At 38.9% G+C, this 27,726-nt stretch overlaps 1 protein-coding gene across 10 annotated transcripts in view, besides 3 other annotated features; it reads right to left on the bottom strand.

Moving 5' to 3' along the window:
• Nucleotides 1-27,658, bottom strand: part of FXR1 (FMR1 autosomal homolog 1) — a 70,084-nt gene extending 42,426 nt beyond the window's left edge. For 7 of the 10 annotated variants that reach the window (NM_001441509.1, NM_001441513.1, NM_001441510.1 and 4 more), the window contains exons 1-3: nt 27,592-27,658; nt 6,942-6,994; nt 5,097-5,190 (exon numbers count right to left, since the gene is read on the bottom strand). In NM_001441509.1, the coding sequence (NP_001428438.1) occupies nt 5,097-5,190; nt 6,942-6,994; nt 27,592-27,642 (198 nt within the window). In that variant the 5' untranslated portion in view covers nt 27,643-27,658. Of the gene's footprint in view, nt 1-5,096; nt 5,191-6,941; nt 6,995-25,332; nt 25,677-27,591 lie in introns of all 10 variants that reach the window. The other 3 variants (NM_001013439.3, NM_001363882.1, NM_001441515.1) reach the window with 3 other exon arrangements.
• Nucleotides 15,775-16,275: an enhancer, noted in NCBI's record as "H3K4me1 hESC enhancer chr3:180641841-180642341 (GRCh37/hg19 assembly coordinates)". NCBI's record gives its function as "activates a minimal SCP1, AML or CMV promoter by ChIP-STARR-seq in primed H9 embryonic stem cells {active_cell/tissue: H9 hESC(primed)}" and the evidence as "EXISTENCE:reporter gene assay evidence [ECO:0000049][PMID:30033119]".
• Nucleotides 27,387-27,476: an enhancer, noted in NCBI's record as "active region_20879". NCBI's record gives its function as "activates an Ori minimal core promoter by ATAC-STARR-seq in GM12878 lymphoblastoid cells {active_cell/tissue: GM12878}" and the evidence as "EXISTENCE:reporter gene assay evidence [ECO:0000049][PMID:35858748]".
• Nucleotides 27,627-27,726: a silencer, noted in NCBI's record as "silent region_14927". NCBI's record gives its function as "represses an Ori minimal core promoter by ATAC-STARR-seq in GM12878 lymphoblastoid cells {active_cell/tissue: GM12878}" and the evidence as "EXISTENCE:reporter gene assay evidence [ECO:0000049][PMID:35858748]".

Here is a 27,726-nt window from a genome sequence, read left to right as displayed (position 1 = left end):
CAGGCGGAGCATATTTTTCTAGCAATCTTTAGTCAGCAAAAATCAATCATTAAGCAAATACTTATGAAATATTTACTATTAAGTGTTATGAAGATTTTTAAAGAGATGACACCATTTTTAAAAGGCAAATAAAAAACCACTAATTAGGTATAAAAATAAATATTTCCATTTTAGACCTTTTCAAAATTAACTTTCTACTATAAATCATATGTTGTCTTCTTGGGTCCACTGCTGGGCCATGACATTACTTTATGTGCTGTAACTTCATGTAAATTTCCTAAGGGGCTAGAAAGGCAAACCCTGTATTTAAGCAACCAATATATTTTTAATGTAACAAAATGTTAGTGTAAACCATATGAAACTGTCAATACTTAACCATTTCTGACCTACAAGAATGGAAATTTCTTATGGCTCAAGTCTTTAAAAATCACCTTACAAGCTTAATAAAGCTCTCTCTTGGATCATTTTTGTTCTAAATTTATTACTAAGGGCAAAGTCACCTTTTCTTTCCTTCAAAGGATTCCTAGAGCTGCAGAAGAATGTTGTGAGTCTGGCACAAAACTGACCAAACCCTCTGAATACATTTGGAAAAACAAAAAATGAAACTGGTTATCAGCTTCCCAACCTCCAGACTAACCTTGGACAAGCTAATAAAGTATTCACACAGTTAAGAAGAGGACACAAACCGTTTTGTGACTCTGAAATAATCTGTTTAAAAAGTATGATGGTAGAGCTCCCGGGCTGGTGAATCTATTGATGGGCTGGAAATGTGGCATGCTCAAAGAAGTCATGGAAGCTCTACTTTCCAAGCCCCTTCCCTCACCCCGACCTTGCCTCATGCATCTCTTTCATTTGGCAGTTCCTGACTTGTATCCTTTATAATAAACCAGTAAACAATCGAGCCTGACCATCTCTAAGTATGATTGAAGAATGACAGTTTACCTCTGCTATTTTGCACAATCCCAGAAAAATTTTAAGAAAAAGTGTTTATTGACCAAAAAATTACATTTCATAACTAAGGCGATCAGATATGAAGCAACCTAAAAGGATTACCACCCACACCCCCCCACCGGTATAAGGGAAAAATAGTGCAGGGAAGCAGATGTAGAAAACATAATTTAAAAATGTAAAAGTAAGCCTGCGCAGTGTCTCACGCCTATAATCTCAGCACTTTGGGAGGCCGAGGCGGGTGTTCACTTGAAGCCAGAAGTTCGAGACCAGCCTGGCCAACATCACAAAACACCATCTCTACTAAAAATAAAAAAATTAGCTGGGCATTGTGGCTCACACCTGTAATTCCAGCTACTCAGAGGCCAAGGCACGACAATCACTTAAAATCGGGAGGTGGAGGTTGCAGTGAACTGAGATTGTGCCACTGTACTCCAACCTGAGCAACTTAGTGAGACTCCATCTCAAAAAATAAAAAATAAAAAATAAAAAAATTGCCTAAGAAAAAAACACAAAAAAGATAAAAACTCAGGGCTGGGCACAGTGGCTCACACCTGTAATCCCAGAACTTTGGGAGGCCAAGGCAGGCTGATCACCTGAGGTCGGGAGTTTGAGACCAGCCTGACCAACATGGAGAAACCCCGTCGCTACTGAAAATACAAAATCAGCCGGGTATGATGGCGCATGCCTGTAATCCCAGCTACTAGGGAGGCTGAGGCAGGAGAATCGCTTGAACCCGGGAGGTGGAGGTTGTAGTGAGCCGAGATCGCACCATTGCACTCCAGCCTGAGCAACAGGAGCAAAACTCCATCTCAAAAATAAAATAAAATAAAAAAATAAAACTCAGCCATAAAATGCAAGGACTTCCTACACCAAAAACTGCACAAACAAAAAATAGACAATTCACAGAACAAGGGGTTAAGAGCCAACCAACTAATTTAAGTGATGTTCCCATACTACTATTCATTAAGGAAATGAGAATTCATGAGACATCAGTTTCCATCCACCAAGTTTACAAAACTGTACATATGAACAATATAATACAGTCACTTAATGTATGAAAAAGATACCTCCAGTGTTAATAAAAGTATAAAGTAATTCTGAAGACATTTTTGGAGGATGAAATGGTACATTTTAATACTTTTAAAAACATTAACCTCTTAGGAATTATACTACCAGACTTGCATAAGAATATTAACTTTAACTCTGGCATTGTTTTCTTTTGCTAACAGCAAAAAATCTGGTAATTTCAATGTCTTTTAATTTGATATATCCACACCAAATAATTTTGAGGTGGTTACAAAAAATGAGGTAAATTTAAATGAGAAGACACGAAAATGTTTGCTGTCCTAATTAAGTGAATACAAAAGTCACAAATATATAACTTAATCCCAATTTTTTTTCAACTTAAATATGTCCTTTATACATGCAAATAAAAAACTTACAAGAGAATCAACTCTGGTAAATGAGATTTAAGATAGGGTGGGTGGACAAGTACACCTACATTAAGATGGAAGGTTTACTTTGTACTTTATATAATTTTTTACCATTTCATTTTTTACATTAAGCTTTATTACTTTAAATTTAAAGAAGGGGAAGAGGCTTTCGAAACGTTACCTGGGAAAGCACTAACTCCGAATTTCTAAACACTCTACGTAATATGGATAAATCCTTAATAAACGGTGACAAAAAAACAAAATCCTATGGGTGGCAAGATTATGCTTAAACTTTTTCCTTATATTAATTTTTAAATTTTTCAAAAGTGAAAAAAAATCACATTTTAATTTCAGATAATGACTTACAAAATTCTAGAGAGCAAATTTGACCAGAGCTGAATCATAAAACATAACGTGAAATTTAAAAAAAACTCTAGATTCAATTTCTAAATCATTCAATCTCTAACACCAATGTCTTCTTCACAAAAGCGGAGGCAGACCACAGGGGTGAGCCAGACTGTTCAGGAACAGGGAAGGACCCTCCTGGACAGGAATGGAAAAAGTACACTGTAACAACACCCTCACCACCCCACCAAGAGTAGTTTTCCCTTTAATCTGAGACTTGACGCTACCAATTTTAAGTGTCTAAACAACAAAAAAGTGTAAGAAGCATTACTCTCAAAACTGAGTGCCACACATTTCTAATTCTAGAACATGTCCAAACCTACATCATTCCTTGCTTGACCTAACTTTTGCTTACTCAAAATCCAAAAAACACTGTATCAGAAATAAATTTTGAAAAATGAAAATGAATCAAGCCCTTTATTCTCACAGAAAACTATTAGAGATACAATATTGAGAAAAACATTTTCAATAAAATCTAAAGTCCAAATGAACACAGTAATCTGCAGCATCACTGCCATATATAGCACCCACCAAGGACTCCACTTCACACTCCTTGATTTGCAGCAGTCACTTCACCACTTTGTTTCCTCGTGTCTCCCCCAGATGCCACCAGTAACATTTTCCTCAAGAACTCTAATACACACAGATAGTTACAGGTATCCTTACAAAAAGTTACTTCTTAACTTACTGCCATTTAAAAATTCTGCCTGGATTTTAATTATTTGCACTAAGTTCACTGTGTACTATTTTGCTTTTACTAAAGCAAAGTATAAATTATGTCAGGGTGCCATGAGCCAAGTCCCTCATGAATGAGTAAAGCATTCACTTTACTCACTCTTTTATCTTTGACTTCCACCAAAGTGGGTACACTAAGTTAAGGTTGTCAGGGATTGAAGTGCTGCAATTTTTGACTTCCTAGCATACTATCTAGATTAATGAGAGCTCAAAGAAAATTTGTCATTAAAAAATCAGGCCATGTATGGTGGCTCACACCTGTAATCCCAGAACTTTGGGAGGCCAAGGTGGGCGGATCACCTGAGGTCAGGAGTTCAAGACCAGCCTGGCCAACAAGGCGAAACCCTGTCTCTACTACAAGTAAAACAATTAGCTGGGCGTGATGGTGGGTACCTATAATCCCAGATACTCAGAAGGCTGTGGCAGGAGAATCGCTTGAACCTGGGAAGAGGAGGTTGGAGTGAACTGAGATTGCTCCATTGAACTCCAGCTTAGGCGACAGAGTGAGACTCCATCTCAAAAAATAAAATAAAGTAAAATAAAATTGGCAGATAACTAAATCATTTGCAAAGTGCTTAGTACAGAATATGTAAGTTTAAAATGTTTGTAAATGGCTAGGCGCGGTGGCTCACACCTGTAATCCCAGCATTTTGGGGGGACAAAGTGGGCAGATCACCTGAGGTCAGGAGTTCGAGAACAGCCTGGCCAACATCATGAAAGCCCGTCTCTACTAACAATACAAAAATTAGCCAGGCGTGGTGACACACGCCTGTAGTTCCAGCTATTCAGGAGGCTGAGGCAGGTGAATCGCTTGAACCTGGGAGGCAGAGGTTGCAGTGAGCCAAGATCGCGCCATTGCACTGCAACCTGGAAGACGAGGGAAACTCCATCTCAAAAAATAAATAAATAAAATAAAATAAAATGTTTGTAGGGCCGGGCACGGTGGCTCACGCCTGTAATCCCATCATTTTGGGATGCTGAGACAAGCCTGAAAGAACATGCACGACATGAACAATGTTTTATTCATCTGTGAGCTGTGATTTTTCTTTCCCTCCTCCTGTATTTTTTTTGCTTTTCTGTACTTTTAAATTTTTCCTCAGACATTTCTAGAATATTGTAGAAGGCAGAAAGCTAGTTACAATATTTCACGTTGTTACATATGAACTCTGTTAATGATCACTATAGTAAAATAACTATTAACACCTCATAAAGACACCCAGGCAAATCGTTAAGACAAATTATTTAAAGTAATTAGCAAAAAGAAGGAAAAGGGTAACACCATAGTGCATAGCGTTCAATGCTAGGTTCTTTTAAGAATTCAAATGCACTATCATCCATGACTTCCAAATTATAATGATAAATTTAAAGTCTACAAAGCTAAAAATGGGACAGGTGAGACCGATTCTAACTCCAAAACTCAAGCACTGCTGTATTACACAGCTATTACCACCAATAGAAAGAATAGAGAAAATGAATTAGATTTATCCTCCATCAACTAAGCTAATTCTCCTAAAAGAGTATTTATTTAAATCAAAAAAATAGACACAAGAAAATAAACTTAAAAATACATACCTCTACTTCATCTCCTTCACTAATTTCTTTTTTTATATCAGGTGGTGGTGGTAATCTAACTTCATTAAATGGAACCTGGCGTTCTGGTTGCCAACTGAAGGATTAGAAAAGGTGTATTAACAACTTAAAAATATATAGTCTACGCCTGGTGTTGCATATTTTTTCAAGTTAGTTTATCATTTAGCTTTCCCTAAAGAGAAGGAAAACAACATTCATACTATTAATAATTTCCCAAGAAATTAGTTACTGAAGTAGAACAGATTTTGTATGACTCTTAATAAGTTCATAATTAACATAATTGTTAACAATTGTACATTACCTCCCAAATTACTCATCCTAACAGCAGTACACATTCTCCCAAATTACTCATCATAAGAGCAATACATACATTATTCTGCAAATGAAATAAGCTAAGTTCACAGTGATGACTAACTTTGATTCGGACAGCTGCCCAATAAATAGTAGTGGTATCAACTTATTTCAAATAGTTTCACAACTACATGACCTATCAATAAAGGAAACACAATTTCATATATTACAAAACAATATAAACTGTGTAATTCTTTTTAGTATACATGTTCACAGAAATACAGAAAATTATCAGCAATTATTTTGAATAGCTGAATTACAAAAGATTTCATTTTCTCACGTTCCATTTATCTTTCCTACAGTGGATATATACATTATAATTAGAACCTAGAAAAAGCTTACTTTTAACTCTGTAGCAAATACGAATGTATTAAACCAATTTAGCAGTTAACTGACATTTTTCATGTTGTATTTTAAAAGCTGAAATTATAAAGTAAAAAATTATTCCCTACTCTAATTTCTCATAGGTCATTTATATGTCTGGGAAGTATACTATGACATAAAATGTCCCTCAAGTTTCTATCTGCCAAGGCTGGGCAAAGTAGCAGCTGACAAGTAAAAGATTTGGGGATGCTTTCTTTTCACCATTACTGTCCAAATGGCAGCTGCTCAAAGATAGAAATCATCTCAACACTTGTTTCTACATGAAGCAGCTGTTAGGCAAAGATCTTTTCAGGCAATTCCAGAAACAGCTTAAAAGTGGAAGCTGAACAGTTTTTTTCTGACCATCAATTAAACAGTGCTCTTGGAGATGGAGTTTTGCTCTTGTCGTCCAGGCTGGAGTGCAATGGCGCCGTCTCAGCTCACTGCAACCTCCACCTCCTGGGTTCAAACAATTCTCCTGCCTCAGTCTCCTAAGTAGCTGGAATTACAGGCGCCCCCCCACCATGACTAGCTAATTTTTTTGTATTTTTTAGTAGAGACAGGGTTTCACCATGTTGGCCAGGCTGTCTCACACTCCTGACCTCAAGTGATCTGCCCGCCTCGGCCTCCCAAAGTGCTGGGATTACAGGCATGAGCCACCGCACGCAGCCCAGCGCTCTTTTATAGCCCTTCCTAACCAAACCCAGCATGCTGTCTTTCCCATTTTTAGACTGCATACCCCTCAGGCAATTAAAAATGGCTTAATACTTATTCTGATGACCAGTAGTCAACTGGAAGACCTTCTACAACCTCATTTGAAAATTCTGGGCTTTTAAATATTAAGCATATTATCATCTAATTTGTGCCATCTATTTCTGCAAAACTGATTCATATCCATACATGTTCTGGCGAAGAGGGTTATGAAAAAAGTGACAATTATGGACAGAAAAACAGATAAAGAATTATCAAAACTAGACTTATGATCAAACAACCAAACCTCCCCACTCCCTAAAAGCAAAATCATTTTTCCACTGGCAGTAGGAACACCCAAAAGCAAAAAGTTTGGCACTGCCATCTCTAAAATTAAGGCCTTTGTCAACAAAAATAACTTACTTATTTTCAAAAACAACTGTAAGGGAGTCTTCATGAACATCTTTGATAAATCCCTGCAAGACACAAAAACATTATAAAAGCATAGATATTAAAGCACTTCGTAACTCTAAAAGGTTGTATTAGTTCAAAGATAATAGGGAGTACTAAAAGAACACAAGGTTTGGAATTAGGCAGATGTGAGTTTGATTTCCATCTATTCTATTTATGAGACACATGATCTTTTAAGTTACTTAACCTCTCTGAACCTCATTTTTCACCCGGTGTCATCTACCTGGGAATTAGCAAAAGTAAATGTACATCCCTGGAACACCTCAGGTATTAGTTCAGCAAGGCAGTTATTTAGTATTGTGACTAAGAGTTCAGTATTTACTACTGTGACAAAGAGTTCAAGCTCTGGAGTACTGGCTGCCAGGATTCATACCCAAGCTCTATCACTTGTATATTCTTGAATACAGTTTTGATCTAATGAAATTAATTACAGTATCATCCACCTAATGAAAAATTTATCAGAAGTAAATGAAGTAATGTTTAGCACAGTACCTGGCACAAAGTAAGAACCCAATTTTGTTATAAATGTTATCAACATTATAGTTCACCTTCAGTAAAATGCATGACTCCATTTTGAATACTATCTTTGCCATTAACTTAATCTTATTTTTCCTACATACTTCTCTTTCCCTTCCCTTAAAAGAAAATTGGGCTATAGTGAGTACACTGTTCACGATTATGTTGGAATGAATACAGATTCTCAATAACAATTGGCGGTCATTTTTCAGCCTTAAAATTACTATTAAAATTAGCCTTCTTATTCTATCTTCCTTTGATTAATACAGCTGAAAGAAACCATAAGATCTGACATACTCAAGAAAGAGCAAAGGACTTGGGTGTAGAATTACTGTTGCTGAAATCCTGATTCCACCACTGTGTAACCATAGGCAAGCAGTCCTTGGCACTTATATAATTACAATTAACATTAAATGACTTTATATTACTATGAATCAGAACTGCAAATTACTGAATGTTAGTCAAATGCTTACACACACTTTCAACCATGGTGTACATAGGAAATACTTTTCTAAAACATCTTTATCACACTAGACTCCATAATGTCCAAGGCACACTAGCTATATAAACACATGTATAGTACCTGGTCAAAGTAAGACAAAAATGAACACATCTGTTTATCTCACTCCTTCCCAAAAGTCCATTAACTAACAGTAAAGAGATTTGAAGGAATAAACCCAAAAGAAAGAAGAGAATAAAGGGAAAAGGCAACTTACAACAACAAAAAAGTTGTTTTTTTTTTTTTTTGAAACTTACAAAGTAAATGGAAGAAGGGTAACTTAAGTAATAAAAAACAAAGCAAGCCCAGGCACCCAGCACTTTGGAAGAACAAGAAAGGCGGACACCTTGAGCTCAAGAGTTCGAGACCATCCTAGGCAAGACAGTGGAATCCCATCTCTACCAAAAATATAAAAAAATTAGCCAGGCCTGGTGGCGTGTCTGTGGTCCCAGCTACTTGGAAGGCTGAGGCGGGAGGATCACTTGAGCCTGGGAGGCAGAGGTTGCAGTGAGCCATAACCATGCTGCTGCACTCCAGCCTGGGTGACAGAGTGGCCCCATCTCCAAAAAAAAAAAAAAAAAAAACCCACAACAACTAATTTTTAAGGGCATACTCTGTGTTAGACATTTTTCTAAGCAAATTAAGACTATAAAATATAAACTGGCAGTGGGAATGGCTCAGTTCTCTTCTTCAGCTCCAACTGCCTGTTGTCTCATTTATTTGTGTGCCACGGGACATTTCTATGCAAACATCCTCACTGAGGCCTAAAACCCAGGATATCTTTCTCTTGAAGATTGCTATGGTAGGCCCGGTGCAGTGACTCACGCCTGAAATGCCAGCACTTTGGGAGGCCAGAGCAGGCAGATCACCTGAGGTCAGGAGTTCGAGACCAGCCTGGCCAACATGGTGAAACTCCATCTCTTCTAAAAATGCAAAAATTAGCCAGATGTGGTAGCAGCTGCCTGTAATCCCAGCTACTCGGGAGGCCGAGGCAGGAGGATCGCTTGAACCCAAGAGGCAGAGGTTGCAGTGAGCCGAGGCTACACCACTACACTCCAGCCTGGGCGACAACAGCAAAACTCCATCTCAAAGAAAAAAACAAAAAAGACTGCTATAGTAGCTCCTGCCTTGCAATTCTGGAGATATTTATTAATTAATCCTCCCTAAATTTAAATATTAAGAGTTGCCACTGTAGTTCAGGCTCTGATTATCTGACCATGCTATAATAATGACTTTCTGGCCAGTTTCTCTATTTCTAGTAGGGCACATTCACGTCTTTTTTTTTTTTTTTTTTTTTGAGGCAGTCTCGCTCTGTTGCCCAGGCTGGAGTACAGTGGTGTTATCTGGGCTCACAGCAACCTCCACCTCCCTGGCTCAAGCGATCCTCCTACCTCAACCTCCCCAGTAGCTGGGACTACACCACCACACCCAGCTAATTTTTTTGTATTTTTAGTAGAGACAGAGTTTTGCCATGTGGGCCAGGCTGGTCTCGAACTCCTGACCTCAGCTGATCCACTCGCCTCAGCCTCCCAAAGTGCTGAGATTATAGGCATGAGCCACCACACCTGGACCACATTCGCTTTCAAAAATCACTTTGGTCAGCACATTCAGTTATGTTACCAGCAAATATAACTGTATTATACCCTTGCCATTTTTTAACAAATTTCAGAAACTGGGAATTTCCATGTTTATGAATATTAGTAAAGCATCTCTTCCATCAGAAGACAGCCATATTTTCAACCTCCACTAACGTGTTCTAGTTCTTCAACAAACTCTCACAAAGTTTGAAAAGTCTCACAAATTAATCTTTCTAGTCTCTGTATAATTCATAGTGGATTAGTTCAAATCAGAACTCTAAATCACTAGGAACTTTCACTCCTTTCTCACCTTTATAATAATCTCTCACTCTCCTTTGTAATAAAAACCTTTTTTCTATCTAAAAATCACCACTTCCACCTTTCCCACAAACGCTTCCACCATAAACATCAGTATCAACTTTGAGTGCACATTTTTCACAAACTTTAAAACACAGCTCTGTACAACTACTTTCTTTTTTTTTTTTGAGATGGAGTCTCACTCTGTTGCCAGGCTGGAGTGCAGTGGTGCAATCTCAGCTGGCCGCAACCTCCAACTCCCTGGTTCAAGCACTTCTCCTGCCTCAGCCTCCCAAGTAGCTGGGATTACAGGCACACGCCACCACGCCCAGCTAATTTTTGTATATTTAGCAGAGACTGGGTTTCACCATGTCCGCCAGGCTGGTCTCGAACTCCGACCTCGTGATCCGCCCACCTTGGCTTCCCAAAGTGCTGGGATTACAGGCGTGAGCCACCACGCCCCGGCCCTTGAGCATCTACTCTTATTGCTAGTATCATTCTGCCATAAGATTTACTAGAGTAAGGCCTGACACCAAGTCCTTAAAATCTATTTGGACTGTAGTGAACGATTTCTAACATCCTACTCCATAAAATCTAATCCCCAAGTCCTAAATTCTAGACAAAGGTGTTTCTAATGGCCAGATTTCTCTAAAATTTAGTCCACTTGACACAGGACACAGTCAATACTTTTAAATGTATTTTTGTATTCCCAAGCCACCAGAATGATGGTAGGTCTCCCCGCCTGCTCAAGAGACCCAAATTGACAGGGCTGGGTCTTCGCCAAAATCCGATAGGAGACACCATAACAGCCACATTTGTCTGCACATGGCAGGGGGCTTTATGCCTTTAAGTCTCCATCCAATCTTTGGGGATTTCGACTGTCTCTCTTCCTATTCACACCCACCTGGCTCAGGTCCCATATTTCTCAGAACAAAGCCTTTGACATGTCTTTTTCTTCTTCCCATACATATGCAAACACAGAAGATTTCAAGGCATCCTTATTAAATGGTCACTTGTCTTGTTCACTCGCACAGTCCAATAATGTTTACATTTGAAACTCTTAACTATAATTTAAGATAATCATTAATAACCAGGCAGTATAACACATCTGAAGTGTATTCAAAATCTTAAAATGTTCACAGCTTGCTATGGATAGGCGGAAAAAAAAATATCTTAAAATGCCCACATAACTCTGACAAAACAAACAGGCATCATGTAATAAAAAACTAAAAATGCCATAAATTAGGCCGGGCGCGGTGGCTCACGCCTGTAATCCCAGCACTTTGGGAGGCCAAGGCAGGCAAAGTTCAAGACCAGCCTGACCAAAACGGAGAAACCCCGTCTCTACTAAAAATACAACATTAGCAGGGTGTGGTGGCGCATGACTATAATCCCAGCTACTTGGGAGGCTGAGGCAGGAGAATCACTTGATCCCAGGAGGTGGAGGCTGCAGTGAGCCGAGAAAGCGCATTGCACTCCAGCCTAGGCAACAAGAGTGAAACTCTGTCTAAAAAAAAACAAACAAAAAATGCCATAAATTAAGTGTAAAATGAAAGTAGGGATGGAAGGAGTAGAAGGAATCCTTGAGCAGTGAAAAAGCACTATCCGAAGAACTAATTTCAAAAGCAATCTAGTATAAAACAATTTTTTAAAAAAAGGTTCTAGTCAAAGATCCACTTAAGCAGCAAGTTAACTAACAATCCATTAGCCTTCTACATGTAAACAACAGGCAGCTGTAAAATAAAAATTTTATACAAAAAAATTCTACTTACAGCAACAACCAAAAAATAAATCCTACAAGTGTCCTCAACAACAGACATATGCACAAAAGCTATGTACAAAAAATGTCTGAAGCTCTAATAAATATAAATACAAAATTTAGGAAAATGTAAAACACCATCATGTTCTTAGACACCTTGATATTATAAAAATTTCAATATGCCCCTAAAATTAACCTATAATTTCAATGGCATCCCATTGAAATATTAACAGTGTGTATGTGTTTGGGGTGGGGGGACCTAATAAAATAAGCCTATCTCAAAAAATTTTAAAAAAGGAAACTTCTAAAATGGGGTGGGGGGGCTGGGATGGGAGGGAACAATAACACTCTATACTTACCAAACCTTAAAGATTATTTTAAAACTACAATAATGAAGATGGAAAAGATATTTTAAAGGAACAGAACAGATTCCAAAAGTAGGCCTAAAGTCGTTTAGGAATTTACAAATGGGGAAGGAATGGACTCTTTTTAAAATGGTATTGGAACATTTAAATAATTCTTGGGGAAAACAGAAATGGATGTCTTCATCAGAAAAAAAAAAAAATCAATAGATAAAACATTCAAACTTCAAAAAAAAATCAGTAACAATTCCAGGAGAAATCAGGAGCCAATTATCTATAACTTGCAGTAAGGAAGGCCTTTCTAACCAAAAAAGCAAAACCCAAAAGCCACAAAGTTTGATAAAAGTATACTACCCAGAAGCTAAAATATAAAAGCATCACATACAAAGGAGAAAAGGGGGCAGAGGGTGAAACAGCATACAACAGGGTTAAATCCCCAATTCAAATATTCTTAGGTGAGTAAGAACAAGCTGATGGAAAAGGTATCGATGGATATGAACTAGGTGAACAAGTAATTCACAGGAAAAAATGTAATTTTAATAATATACAAATCTCCTTTAAATTGTTAAACATTTGCTACAATTTGTTCTGAACTTCGCTTTTCTCTTCAGTTTGTGTCTTGTAGATCCTACCTTACTATGAAGATCTACTCATTTTTTTTTAGACGGGTGCTTAAATGGCCTGTGGGGGAAAAAAGTACACAGGATATCTGCTTACTTTATGAATATATTTTTGAAATTACAGAATATAGCTGAAAAACAAAAAGTTTCTCAACTTGACAGGAGCCGTTGTGGAAAAAAAATCCTATAGGCTAAACAGAAAGAAACATGGTATGAATATATTTCAGGAGTTAAAAGATTAATATTACAAATATAGCAAAAAATCTGAACAGATGTATTATGGACCCTGGCTGTGGAACAGTGACCTAATGACACTGTATGAGGGCAGACAAAATATCATTTATAAACCACTCATTTTATAAGAGCACTCATTTTAAAGAAGGAAAGTTGAAACAATACACATCTTATATAGCCCCAAAGTTTCACTCCCTAGGTTAAAAGTACAAATTTAAAATCTCATCTGTCTTGAGCTCTTTTCACTAAATCACTACGAACCAAATGATGAAATACTTTTGCCAATTCATATAGTTTTAAACTCTAAAAGATTGAGTCTGGTAGTAATGTTAATCAGAGGAAATAAGGCACCTATCATAAAAAGATATTTAAGGCAAGGTTCCCAAAGTATCAAAAACTAACTCACAACTGGTAAGGCAATTATCTTGTCCAAAACCTGGATTCAAGCTGAAAGAAAATTTTAATGTTTGAAATACTGATCAATAGATCAGGTATCTTGATTGAGTTGTGGCTTAGAAATCTGTACAGATGTCCCTTCAGGAACATTCCTAATAAACCCATTAAGAATATACCATCCTAGTCTAGAAAAATTCCTTTGACTGGAAAGTAACCATGATTACTAATTCATCTGTTACTTTAGATTTTTTTTAAGACCCACTGATGCCTTCCTACCATTTCAATTCATTACAACAGTAAATTTACATTCCTTATAAAGGAGTAAACAAACTTTATAAAGGAGTAAACAGAAACTTTAAAACCTTAGTATTTGGCAGACTACCAAATGTAATCAGAAACAGCACAGCCTGAATCCGAAGTTTTAAAATGCAAGTCCAGAACCAAAAAATCGAAGATTTACACCCTAAAAGTGTAACTCTCATATTTCAAAATTCTTCTTAGAAGAGTTTTCTGATTGCAAAACAAACTGCCTTTTTTCTTTTTTAATGCCAACAAAAGGCCAGAAAAAAAAATATATATATATATATATATATATATATACAGTACAATCCCCCTAAATAGAGATTAGGAACTACCCTTGGCTTAACCCAACTTTTTAATGACTCCAGTCTCAAGATTCCAACCTATTAAAAGTTTCATGGTAAAGCAGGAGACCTGTCAGGAATCATACCTCTAGTTCACATTTATTCTCTTAAGGAAGCAAAAGGAAGTATCAGACGCACATTACTGCTTCCCTCAAACCTGATCAAGTATTCTTACATAGTTTGTCACTCCAGCTTTAAGACTACTGTTTTTCTTTTTAATTCTCTTCTCATGAATCGCTGGCATGAAATTTAAACATTTTATTTTTCTCTCTAGATTTGGCACAACAGTCAGAAATTACTTTTTTTATGCCTTCTCAAATGTGTTAAAAAAAGAAAAAAGTGCAGTTCATGGCTTAATTCCTGATGCAAACTTGTGGTAAAGTACTTACTGTATTTCTAAAGATAAACTGATTAAAATAAATCCTTCTTTATTAGAGACACTGGGCTGTTTGTTAGATAGTGAAGGGTCTTTCCTCTGACTAGGTTAACTCTCCATTTACCCCAACTACATCAGTTAAATATTACTGATGTGGATAAATTTGATTACAAAATATATAGCCCATGAGAAAAAGGTACTAACATAATTCATGCAAAATTCAGTACCTCGGGTTTTTTCTTCCCCAAGAACTGCCACAGTGGATTTTATTATCACTTTTTATCCCTTGATCAATTATCAGTTTATTTATTGATTCATACTCTGGCCCCAGTCTACCTTTCCAGCCCATCAATTTGAATGATTTAACATCTCTGAAATCAGGATGCTTCTTACAATGGATGGCATCTTGGAATAGCTGATAGCCACATGTCAGTCAGGACATAAATGTCACTCTTTAGTACTCAAACTTGGTTTGCTTGCGATTTTCTGTGGCACCTGATGGTAACCCCTGAGCATTTCAGTCAGCAAACCAACGAAGAACCACTTTAGGAATGACCGCGGTTTCTTATCAAAATGTTTGTTTGTTAACACCTTCTGATAAAATCTAGAAAGCACCAGGATCAAAGCTCACAAAATGAGTAAAAATTACTGGAAGAAAATCCTGGAGACAACAGAGGAATGTACTTTTTTTTTTTTTTTGAGATGGAGTCTCGCTCTGTTGCCCAGGCCGGAGTGCAATGGCCTGATATCAGCTCACTGTAACCTCCACCTCCCAGTTCAAGCGATTCTTCTGCCTTAGCCTTCCGAGTAGCTGGGACTAGAGGCACGTGCCACCATGCCCGGCTAACTTTTTTATTTGTAGTAGAGACAGGGTTTCACCATATTAGCCAGGCTGGTCTCGAACTCCTGACCTCGTGATCCACCCACCTCAGCCCCCAAAGTGCTGGGATTACAGGCGTGAGCCATCGCGCCCGGCCAGGAGAGCCCTTTTAAAGTAGGTTTACAACATCAATACTCTCCATGGCACTGAGGAAGATATTTTGAGAAGAAACACAGGTATCTGAATATGAATATGTTTTAATGAATTTCTTTTGCTTGAACTTCCCATTTTATGTATGGGACTGTTAGGATATTTTTCAATAACTACATAAGAATATTAAAAAATAAAGACAACCATTGTTCAGATTAATTGGCACATTTCTTCTTTCTTCATGGTACAGTGCCTCTGACAACTGATGCTGTTTTAGGTATAATGAAATTGCATTGAGGCCAGGCACGGTGGCTCACGCCTGTAATCCCAACAATTTGGGAGGCCGAGGCAGGTGGATCACCTGAGGTCAGGAGTTTGAGACCAACCTGGCCAACATGGTGAAACCCCGTCTCTACTAAAAATACAAAAATTGGTTGATCTTCCACTAATTTCCCAAATCTATATATGGAAAAACAATCTATTCTGTTGATTCTAAACCCAACTTCCAACTATTCAGACATCTCCACCCATAGTTTACTGACACCTAAAATCAACACGTCCACAGTCAGAATCTCATCTGTTGTCCTGCTCTGCACCCTACACAGCATGATCCATTTAACAGGATTTTCAAAATGAAAGAGAAAACTGAACACAGCAAACAATCTTTTTTAACCAGGATTCTAGGAGAATACAGCCCGATGCAATAAGGCATCCGCTGTGTGTAATGAATTAACTTCTCTCACATATATCTAGAATGGTACTACGACCTATGTGCCATCACCAGAACTGAGAAACTGTGTTTCTGTGCTTTATAGTTCAGATAAGAAACTCGGGCTGAAGGCTGGGCACGACAGCTCACACCTGTAATCCCAGCACTTTGGGAGGTCGAGGCAGGCAGATCACCTGAGGTCAGGAGTTCGAGGCCAACATGGCGAAACCCTATCTCTACTAAAAATGCAAAAATTAGCTCGGCATGGTGGTACACACCTGAAGTCCCAGCTACCTGGGAGCCTGAGGGAGGAGAATCACTTGAACCCGAGAGGCAGAGGTTTCAGTGGGCCAAGACCACGCCACTGCACTCCAGCCTGGGCGACAGAGCAAGACTCTGTCTCAAAAAAAAACAGAAACTCAAGCTGCAAAAGTCTGACTTGTCTCCCAGATCTGGGTGATCATCGTTATCTAGGCAACTTTAAAGTTCTCAAGAAGGATGCCTGAGGGTCTGTAATCCCAACCCACTCAGGAGACTGAGCGGGGAAGATCACTTGAGCCTAGTAGTTCGAGGCCAGCCAGCCTGGGCAACATAGGGAGACAGATCAACAGACCGGTCTCCTGAAACAACAATTTCTCTATTTGCAAAATAAAGGAGGTGAAGATTCTTAAACTGGGGTACTCCCTGACACTCAAAGATGTGCTAGGAGTACTTAAAGCTACTCCCTCCCCACAACTACCATGGTAAATCTTCCTGGAGCTTTTATGATAAGTAAAGTAATTTAAAAGATTCATAATAAAGTTTCTGGACTGTCTACATAGTTAACAGATTATATAAAGGGCTCCTTATCAGGGCAAGGAAAAAAAAAAGCCTCACTAAATGAAGGCACTACAATACAGTGGTTTCACTGTAAGGTCTCAGATCCCACTACTTACTGTGTATAACAAGAGAGGATCCAAGACAGTAATGTAAGGAAAATAAGATCCCTAACTGGCCTTATTTGCCAAAAAGCAAATCACAATGTTCCCTTCTCGAGATCTCTGTATGGTATTCCCAGGACACCCCAGACTCTTTGGAGTAATTCTCAGGAGGGTCTATCAATCTGGAATGGGATCCAGCCCTCCAGGATGCTGAGCATCAACCTCTCATCCCAATCCTAGAAGTGAGGGAGATACAGCTAAGGAGAGACACACATGCAAGAAAAACAACTTTCAAACAGAGATGATTAATACATGGCACTAGCATAACTGCCTATACATACAAATATGCAAAAATATTAACGTACTATTTAAATGTAAAAATAAAACTCCAAAGTAACCTAAGAAATTGTATGTATAATCTGGGCACAGACTGTCTTAACCAGGACTGGAAACCCAGAAGCCTTAATGGAAAAAAAAAATTATGTTAAAAACTAAAATCTCACTATGACCAGCAATATAAGAAAAGAAGTTAAAAGGATGGGGAGGCAGGGCACAGTGTGGCTCACACCTGTAATCCCAGCACTTTGGGAGGCCGAGGCAGGAAGATCACTTGAGTCCAGGAGTTGGAGGCCAGCCTGGGCAACATAACAAGACCTATCTCTACAGAAAATTTTTTTAAATTAGCTGGGCATGGTGGCACATGTCTGTAGTCTCAGATACTCCAGAGGCTGAGGCAGGAGGATCGCTTGAACCTGGAAGGTCAAGACTGCAATGAGCCATGATCCTATCACTGCACTGCAACCTGGGTGACACAGTATTATTTATTTTGAGATCCTATCTCAAAATTAATAACCTAAATAAATAGGTGGGAGAGTGGACACTCTTACATCAGGTCAGAGGCTTAATATCCATAATACAGAAAGATTTTCAAAACTGACAAAGGACACCCCAACAAAAAAATGGGCAAAAGACAGGCAATTCTTAGAAAAACAAAATCAAATGGCAAACAAAGGCAAGTCTTAAAAGAACAAGTTCAAATGGCAAACAACATTAAAATTCACAACTGGGATCAAGTTCCAATGAGATATCCCTTTACATCCAACAGACTGGCAAAAATTAAAGATCATAAAGCCAACTTCTGGCCCAGATAAAAAGAAAAAGCTGCCATTTATTATTGATGGAGAACACAGGAAGCATCAGAAGCCTTTTTGGAAAGCAATCTTTCAACATTTATTACAGTTTTTTGTTTTTTTAAAGGTTCCCTTTCACCAAGCTATCCCATTCTTTGATATCTATCCAATGGAAATAGTTATGTGGAGCGACAAAAAACTGAAAACAAAGTGTATGTCTATTAACTGGGGAATGGCTGAATTTAATACATTGTTATGATTATATAACCTTAAAAAATAAATCATACTCCACATGAAAATAGTTAAGATGTGGATGATCCTATTTTTATACAGTAATACTGAAAAACCCTATACTTGTAACTGAATGCGTACCTATATACAATTCTACGAGCATAGTGAAATATATGGAACCACGTATATGTGCTACAAACAAAGGTTACCTAATATGGAGGCGGAGGTGAGAGACCCAGGTGGTGAAGAGCAACCAGGGGAAAAAAAAATACAACAGACTAAGTTTTTATATCATACTTACGTGTGTGTAAAATTATACACGTGTCTATGTAAACGTATACTTTTAAGAATTAGAATATATCTTATTGTCAGCCAACACGTTTTCCATACAGCACGTATGTGCATCACCACTCCCCACTTCTAATTTTTCCATCTCTAGGGATCTCAAATTTATAAGATATAAACTTATAAGATGCTTACCACAACTAAAAGATCTAAGTTGTAATTTGATTCCAACAAGTACCAAATAGTCAAGGCTGCTACTGCAATCAAAAAAATGTCTTAACTTCAAACAATATACTTTTTAAAAAGATCTACGCAACTAAATCTACAAAGTAAAATTATTCCAAATCACTAGATACTTGTTCCACAAATTCAAAAAGTCTGCAAATTTACCAATTACATTATACATTACAATAATTATTACAAGTTTTTTTTTTTTTTTTTAGATGGAGTTTCTGTTGCCCAGGCTGGAGTGCAGTGGCGTGATCTTGGCTCACTGCAACCTCCACACACACCCCCACCCTGGGTTCAAGGGATTCTCCTGCCTCAGCCTCCAGAATAGCTGGGATTACAGGCACCAGCCACCATGCCCTGCTAATTTTTGTGTTTTTAGTGGAGATGGTTTCACCATGTTGGCCGGGCTGGTCTCGAACTCCTGCCCTCAAGTGATCCACCCGCCTCAGCCTCCCAAAGTGCTGGGATTACAGTCAAGAGCCAGCACGCCCAGCCAATTATGGAGTAAGCTCTAATAAGAAAAAAAAATTATTCAAGGCAAGCATTCAGCATTCATTAGTATTGAGCATGTAACTGTTCTGAGTTTGAAAAAAGAAAAAGGACAATGAGGATGTGAAGATTTCTTTAAGAATACACAAGTGTCTACTACTACTGTTTACATACCAGTAATGTTCTTGGCTTGTTAGGTTCACCCATTTGTATGTATTATCTAACAGTTCTCTTTGAAATGGAATAAGTTAACAGTTCCAAATGGCCACCCAAAACTATTCTGGGCCGGGCATGGTGGCTCACACCTGTAATCCTAGCACTTTGGGAGGCTGAGGCAGGCAGATCACCTGAGATCAGGAGCTCAAGGTCAGCCTAGTCAACACGGCAAATCGCCATCTCTACTAAAAATACAAAATTAGCCGGGCGTGGTGGTGCATGGCTGTAATCTCAGCTACAATAATTACTGAGGCACAAGAATCGCCTGAACCTAAGAGGCAGAGGTTGCAGTGAGCCAAGATTGTGCCACTGCACTCCAACCTGGGCAACAGAGCTAGACTCAAAAAAAAAAAAAAAAAAGAACAAAACTATTCTGACTTTCTCGTTGCAGAGTTTAAGTTCTATACAGTTCCCTCTATGCATGCATAAAGTTTTGTGACAATATCTGAACTTGACCAAGATCAAAACATAACTTCTTTAAAAAAATCATTTAAATTCAGTTTGAACCAAAATCAGAAATGATGAAGTTAGCAGTTACTAAGATTACACATCATTCAACAAATATACACTGAGGGCTTACTATGAACTAAGTACATATATCAACAAAATTTAAGACTTGAAAATAACCTGAAAAACTGTAAAAACAAAAAGGTTACATGAAAAGGGAACCAAAAACAGCTACCTATGATTAATTATGTAGATTAAGAAAGGAATTCAGGAGCCTCTGAGGCTCCTGATCTGAAGAAATCTCAACACGGGAGCGCATCCCTTTGCCAACAATAATAAACTTCATCAGCTATTTTACTAATGGAGACCTCTGTTCATCTTCCCAAAATAGACAGCAAAAAACGCTGAAGATAGAGAATGGCAGGCAAGTTAAATACACTGATAGCATAAATTATCTTGATTAAAAGAAGGAGGTAGTGGCTCATGCCTGTAATCCCAGCACTTTGGGAGGCTGAGGCAGGAAGATCATAAGGTCAGCAGTTTGGGACCAGCCTGGCCAATATGGTGAAACCCCATCTCTAATACAAAAATCAGCCGGGCGTGGTGGCTGGCACCTTTAGTCCCAGCTATTCAGGAGGCTGAGACGGGAGAATTGCTTGAACCCGGGAGGCAGAGGTTGCAGTGAGCTGAGATTGCGCCACTGCACTCCAGTCTGGGCAACAGAGCAAGACTCCATCTCAAAATAAAACAAAATGCATGAAAAGAAATAGATAATATTAATTTCAATATTATTTAACCTAATATACCTAAAATATTATCCAACATGTAATCAATGTAAAAAATTATTGGCCCGGCGCAGTGGCTCACGCCTGTAATCCCAGCACTTTGGGAGGCTGAGCCAGGTGGAACATTTGAGGTTAGGAGTTCGAAACCAGCCGGCCAACATGGTGAAACCCTGTCTCTACTAAAAATACAAAAATTGCCTGGGCGTGGAGGCACACAGCTATAATCCCAGCTACTCGGGTGGCTCAGGCATGAGAATCACGTGAACCCAGGAGGCGGAAGTTGCAATGACCCGAGATAGTGCCACTGCACTCCAGCCTGGGCAACAGAGCAAGACTCTGGCTCAAAAAAAAAAAAAACAAAAATAAAAAAAAAATAAAATTTAGGTGTTTCACATTTTTTTTTAATTCTAAGGCTTTGAAACCCAATTTGTATTTTACATTTAAAGCATGTCTCAATTCAGACTAGTACATTTCAGCTCCATGGCTGGTGGCTACTATATTAGAAAGCAGATTTGTCTAAAGCAAAGGCATAGCTCAAATCATTTCTCTGGGAACCTCCCAATTTATTCCTCATAATTCTCCTCATATTAGTAACAATTCAAAATTAGTAATAATGTGGCAAAACATTTGTACTTCAAAAAATATTGCACCATAATGGTTAAAGAAATTGGTTCTGTGGTGTCAAACTTTAGAGTCTGAATCTTGAATCAGCATCTAACTTTACAGACCTGGATTCACTTAGCCTCAGTATTCTCAAATAGTGGAGTTATCTACTTCACTGTGGTTGAAAGGATTAAATGGGAAATTCGAGTAAGGCACCTACAAAGTCTGGTAAGTAGTCTGGGTACTCAATGAAAATTAGTTACAGTTGCTAGAGGTAGATGGGACTGCCATCAACAGAAACTAGCAAAGATTTCACAACTTATAAATAGGTTAAAGGAAATACAACTGCTTCATACTGCATATGAAAAAACCAAGGTGTTTACCTGGATGATCCTGCCAGTTAAAAACTATTACAAGAATTAGGGGTCAATCATGGAATGAATGCATATTGCTCTTCCCACTACAAAAAAGCTAATTTGACAACCTTAAACACTGTGATAGAGAACTTATCCAGAGTGATAATCCAGCAAAGTATCTGCCCTTTTCCTCCTAATGAAAATGTAAGCTCACTATCCTAAAAGTTACTTTGAAAAATCCCTAATGCTGGCCAGACTCAGTGGTTCATGCCTGTAATCCCAGCACTCTGGGAGGCCCAGATGGGAGTATTGCTTGAGACCAGGAGTTTGAGACCAGCCTGATCTAAATAGCAAGACCCCATCTCTACTAAAAAATAAAAATTAAAAAAATAAAACCAACCTCACAGAGTTCTTGGGAAAAGAAAATCAGGAAATACATATAGAAGCTTAATACATAATCTAGTAAAGAACAGGCTCTCATCTTAAACTATTATCTTACAGAAGGCACACAAATATCTGACATAGAAAATAACAGGTACATAAAAGTAAAAATACGGAAAAATAATGTTTTCTGGAAGTATTTAAAGCCAGGGCCTTGACAGTATCTCTCTAGATAGGTAAGATGTGCTTTTCTGCTTTCATATTTTTCGTAATTATGTGTTGCTCTTCTAATACAAAACACAAAACTTTACAAGAAATATATGCATTTAAATTGACTTTTTTTTTTTTTTTTTTTTTTGGAGACAGAGTCTCACTCTGTCACCCAGGCTGGAGTGCAATGGCATGATCTCGGCTCACTGCAACCTCTGCCTCCCCGGTTCAAGCGATTCTCCCACCTCAGCTTCCCAAGTAGCTGGGACTACAGGCGCGTGCCACCACACCTGGCTAATTTTTGTATTTTTAGTAGAGACGGGGTTTCTCTATGTTGGCCAGGCTGGTCTCGAACTCCTGACCTCGTGATCCACGCACCTCAGCCCCACAAAGTGCTGGGATTACAGGCATGAGCCACGGCGCCCGGCCTAAGTTGACTTTTTAATAACTGTGATCACCATCAGCAAGATAGAGTAGAAAATCCCAGCCTTCCTTCCCCTCCACGTTTTGCAACTATCTGTGAATGAAAATAAAAGCTGTTGTGATCATTTATTTTGACATCCAGTTAAATCTTCATTACTTAGCATTTTAATGAAAATTATCTTTTTAAATATGCAAAACAACCATTTTAAATTATCTGGAACTATGTATTTTTAAATTAACAGGGTGGCCTAATATTAAGACAATTATCGTTTTTTCAATTACAAATCTCCACAATGAAACCAACTAACAAGATTCTGTACTAACCTTGAAAAGTCAGCATACCCTCTGAACGCAACTTTTTACTATAATTCTATTGGTCATCATTATTAATATATCTATGCATAATTTAGATTACGCTCAAATTCCACTTAATATTAAATCAAGCTAAACAGGGAATTATAGAAATATAGTACTTTGAGATTTGTTTTGTAGACAGTTACACGGTGGAAGCAGACAGCTCTAAAAGTAATTAACTCTGGCCAGGCGCGGTGGCTCACGCCTGTATTCCCAGCACCTTGGGACGCCGAGGCGGACAGATGGAGGCCATCCTGGAGATCGAGAACATCCTGGCCAACATGGTGAAACTCCGTCTCTACTAAAAATACAAAAAATTAGCTGGGCGTGGTGGTGCGTCCCTGAAATACCAGCTACTCAGGAGGCTGAGGCAGGAGAATCGCTTGAACCACTGAGTCAGAGGTTGCAGCCAGCCAAGATTGCACCACTGCACTCCAGCCTGGTGACAGAGCAAGACTCCGTCTCAAGAAAACAAAAAAATGTAACTCTACCTTCTGCAGAAAGTGACTGAAATCTCAGAGCTTACAGGTTCCCTTCGAACATCATGGAAACTTTCCTATGAGCCAGAAACTGAGTGACTTACTTCCAACTTCTATTTAAAATTATACTCATGGTCGGGCGTGGTGGCTCACACCTGTAATCCCAGCACTTTGGGAGGCCGAGGAGGGCGATCATTTGACGTCAGGAGTTCGAGGCCAGCCTGGCCTACACAGTAAAACCCCGTCTCTACTAAAAATACAAAAATTAGCCGGCCATGTTAGCACATGCCTGTTGTCCCAGCTACCTGGGAGGCTGAGGCAGGAGAATCACTTGAACCTGGGAGGTGGAGGTTGCAGTGAGCCGAGATCGCACCACTGCGCTCCCACCACTGTGCTCCCACCCGGGCAAAAGAGCAAGATTCTGTCTCAAAAAATAAAAATAAAATGAAATTATACTCAGCCCAAGGCCATACAAATTGCAATGCTATTACAAAGACTAATATATATTTATACATCAGTTAAAAAGCACTTTAATGATGCAAATGAGCCGGAGGTTTCTGTGGGGTAATGGAACGTTCTGAAGGAAGACTGTGGCGGTGGTTACACAACTCTGTAAATACACTGTCATTCAACTGTACACTTAAAAAAGGTTGTTTTATAGAATATACATTCTACCTCATTAAAACTTTCTTTTTCAAGACACCTTAAATGTCCAGTAGTATAAAACCTAAGATGCTACTTTAGGTATGAGAAGTACAAAAGTACAAAGCCTATAATGTTATTTTATATAACAGCATAGCCCACCAACAAATGCTTAATTAACATCTTCCCATTCTCTCTCATCCCCGCAGATTTATAGGGCTACGAACATGCACAAATCAAGTTTCTAATATCTCTAACTATAGAGCCACTGTTAAATGCAGAACAATGTATTTAGCATGCCACCATTTGTGTACATACTATTTTTTAAAGGCTACCCTAATTTTAGGTAAAATATTCAGATCTTCAGCGTTTCACTGGTTCCAATTAATTTGTGAAATGAAGTTTCAGTTCTACTACAAAAACTTTAATCAAAGTCTACAGAGTACTGCCTCAAGGCATGATAACTGACTTTGAAACTCATCAATGGCAATTCACACTTACGGCCAAATGTGTGTCTTCTGCCTATACGGGGTAAGAGGAGGGGAAAAAAGGGAAATTCAGATCACCTGTACATTGAAAAACCACCAAAAAAAACCAAAGAAATACACTAAAATGTTAACAGCTCTCATCTCAAGGCAACTTCTAGTTTTTGCTGAGTTCCAAAATTACCTCAGTGACCATGTATTATCTTCTAAATTGGAAAAAAACTAATTAAAATTAAATTGCTTCTACGCTAAATGGAAGCCGGACTCAAAACACTACACAATATAGTGTACGATTCTATATACGTAACGTTCTGAATAAGAAAAACTATGGGGACAGAAAACACTCTAGAAGCTGGGGTTGAGGAATGGTTGACTGAAAAGGGCATGACGGAAATTTGGGGGCTATGAATCTTGATAAATGCTGACACCACCACAGTTAAAGTGACAGTTAATCTTGATAATTGTCAGCATTTATCAAGATTCATAACCGTACACCAAAAAAGGCTTATTTTACTGTATGTAAATTAACATTAACTTTTACATTCTAATGAATAAAAAGCAATAAACTTCTGTGCAATAAGCCAATGGTTTTCAAGTCAGCAGTTTAATAGGATAAAAATATACTGGGGATCACAGAACTACTTCAAGCCCCTCATGTTAGACAGAGAGATTTGTTCAGGGGTCCATTGTTAGATAATGGTAAGGTGAAGTACAGACCTAGAATTCTCATCTGTTTACTTCAAATCCAGGACTCTTTTCCACTCCGCCATTCTCATTCTTCCAGAGTTCTGAAGACCACAGTTTCCACAAAGTGCATATGCAAGTGGATTATGGCTGGACATAAAATTCCAAATGTTCAAGCGTACATGATTTCAGTGCACACACAGGTGGCTAGTGTCCTTTCCAACCTTTGTCAAAGTACCAACTCACTTTGTGAGGCAAAATGAGTAATGGAGTCAAAGTCTAAGTAGAAACAAGCAGTAGATTGTAGATATGTATAGAGATCAATTATAAATACTTCAGAGTTCCAAAATGGGGACATTTGATTCATTGTGAATTGACTGGAAAAAAAAAATACCGTGAGAAACCAAAGTAAGACTGCAAACAATCTTTACTAAAATTACCTTCACCTTATTAAAAAAAGGAAAAAATATCTTGCATAGCAGGCTATTGACAAATATACTTTGCTAAAAATAGTTGTCTACCACATGCATGATGCAGAACCATGAAATAAAGCAAAATAATCACTTTATTTTTTCCAATATGCAAGAAAAAATGCATACCTCCCTTATACAAGAACTACAGGGCCAAATAGTGAGAATTTAAAACTTTTCGGGAAAGGGGTGGGGGGTGATGCAAAACGACTTATCTACAATTGATAGGAAAAACATAGATAAGTCTATTCTTTTCGCCGTCTTACCCAGCGAACTGTATCTGCAGTAGTCCAGGGAAAGCAACCACCAGGTTTCAATAACAACAAAAGTCAATTAACTATGTACTCAAATTTCACCTAGGTCATTGGTCTGACATCAAGTCTTAAACCGAGAACGTCAATGTTAACTACTCACGCATTAACATAAAGTCTCATTTCCAACAGGCACTGTTCCTACTTTAAGTTTACCACCTAAGGAGATTTAAACTTGCAAAAAGCTTAGGGGGATCCTTTATACGCTGTGATTCCCCATTATGCTGGTACCACGTGACAGTTAAACCAAATCCACAGAGCTAATCAGTAAACTAAGAAAAGAAAATCAAAATGCTGAAAATAGAAAATCGTGGCCAAATAAAATAAAAACCCATAGGATAAAAGGTACGCTGAAATGAAAACCTGTGAGAATTCACTTTGCATACGCACAATACTCATGTATTAGAAGAAGGCCCTTCATAAAAATAGCCAAGACTCTCAAACATTTGAGATGCTGGCTTAGTGAGATTGACTGACAGACAACAGCTGGGGAGATTCTGTATTGATCTTCTAACAACCTGGCGTATTTCGGGAAAATAAGGAGAAAAGAACGCTATAGTGGCAAAAAATAAACTATTAGGATTTCATTTTCAGATATGTGAACGCTGAATGCCCCACCAAATTCCTCTACTCTATTCCTCTTACGTTTTTCAGCCCCGATTCCATAGTAATGGATGTCCTTCCTCCCAAGCAAACAAACAAAAAACCTCGTGGGAGAAAAAACAAAACAAAACAAAACCTCCCTCCAAAAACAGGGGCAGTGATATAAAGAAATTAGTCACCTCTCCACCTATCTCCCTGATCCATTTCGCATTTTAAATCTTACTTTAAAGCTCACAACTCTCCTTTTCTTCCGTAATAGAGGGGCTAAGGCGCCGCCCAATTTCCCAGGCCGCAAAAATATTCCAACCCGCCACAATTCAAGGTTTTCTGCTTTTCTGTATTTGATCCTAACCCTCAATCCGGTACCCCCATTCTCCTCAGACACTAAAGATTTGTTGGCCCAAAACTCAAATACAAGGGTGAATTCCAAAGATTCCGCGATACACCCGCCCCAAGGGGTGGGGAGGGGTCGGAGGAGCGGGCTGAGGAGCTCCCGCCCGGCCCAGTTCGAGGGGCGGGGGAGCGGGTGAGACCACACAATCCCACCGCCTCCTTTCACGACTCCCCCACCTCCCAGAGCTCGGGCCTGCTCCGAAGGAGCTCCCGCCGCCCAGCAGCCACTCAGTTGCTTCCCACCGGCCCGCCAAGAACCGCACTAGCAACCAAGAGGGTTCATAACTAGGAAAATGCAAGAGGTGTCCGACGTGTTGTTTCAAAACATAACGGAGCCCCGGCCCCCGAGACCGTTAAACCGCGGGTGGAGGGGGGAGAAGCAAGGAATCCAGCGGCCTCGAGCTTTGGCCTGGCTGCCTTTCCGACCCCAAACCTCACTCTCTGGGACCACCAACCCTCCCTCAAACGCGCTCCAGCACCCAGAACACTCGACAAAGTGGCAAAACGGTCAGTACCTTGTAGAAAGCCCCGTTAGAGCCGCGAACCTCCACCGTCAGCTCCGCCATGTTGGAACCGCAAAGGCCGCTGGGAAGAGATTCTAGAAACTTTCCAACCAGAGGGGAGGAGGGGGGAGGGGCGAGAAGGAGGCG

This window comes from Homo sapiens, chromosome 3 (genome assembly GCF_000001405.40).
Source record: "Homo sapiens chromosome 3, GRCh38.p14 Primary Assembly".
Classification (NCBI taxonomy): Eukaryota; Metazoa; Chordata; class Mammalia; order Primates; family Hominidae; genus Homo; species Homo sapiens.
Note: the sequence above shows the minus strand (reverse complement) of the source record. Positions and strands in the feature narration are given on the sequence as shown.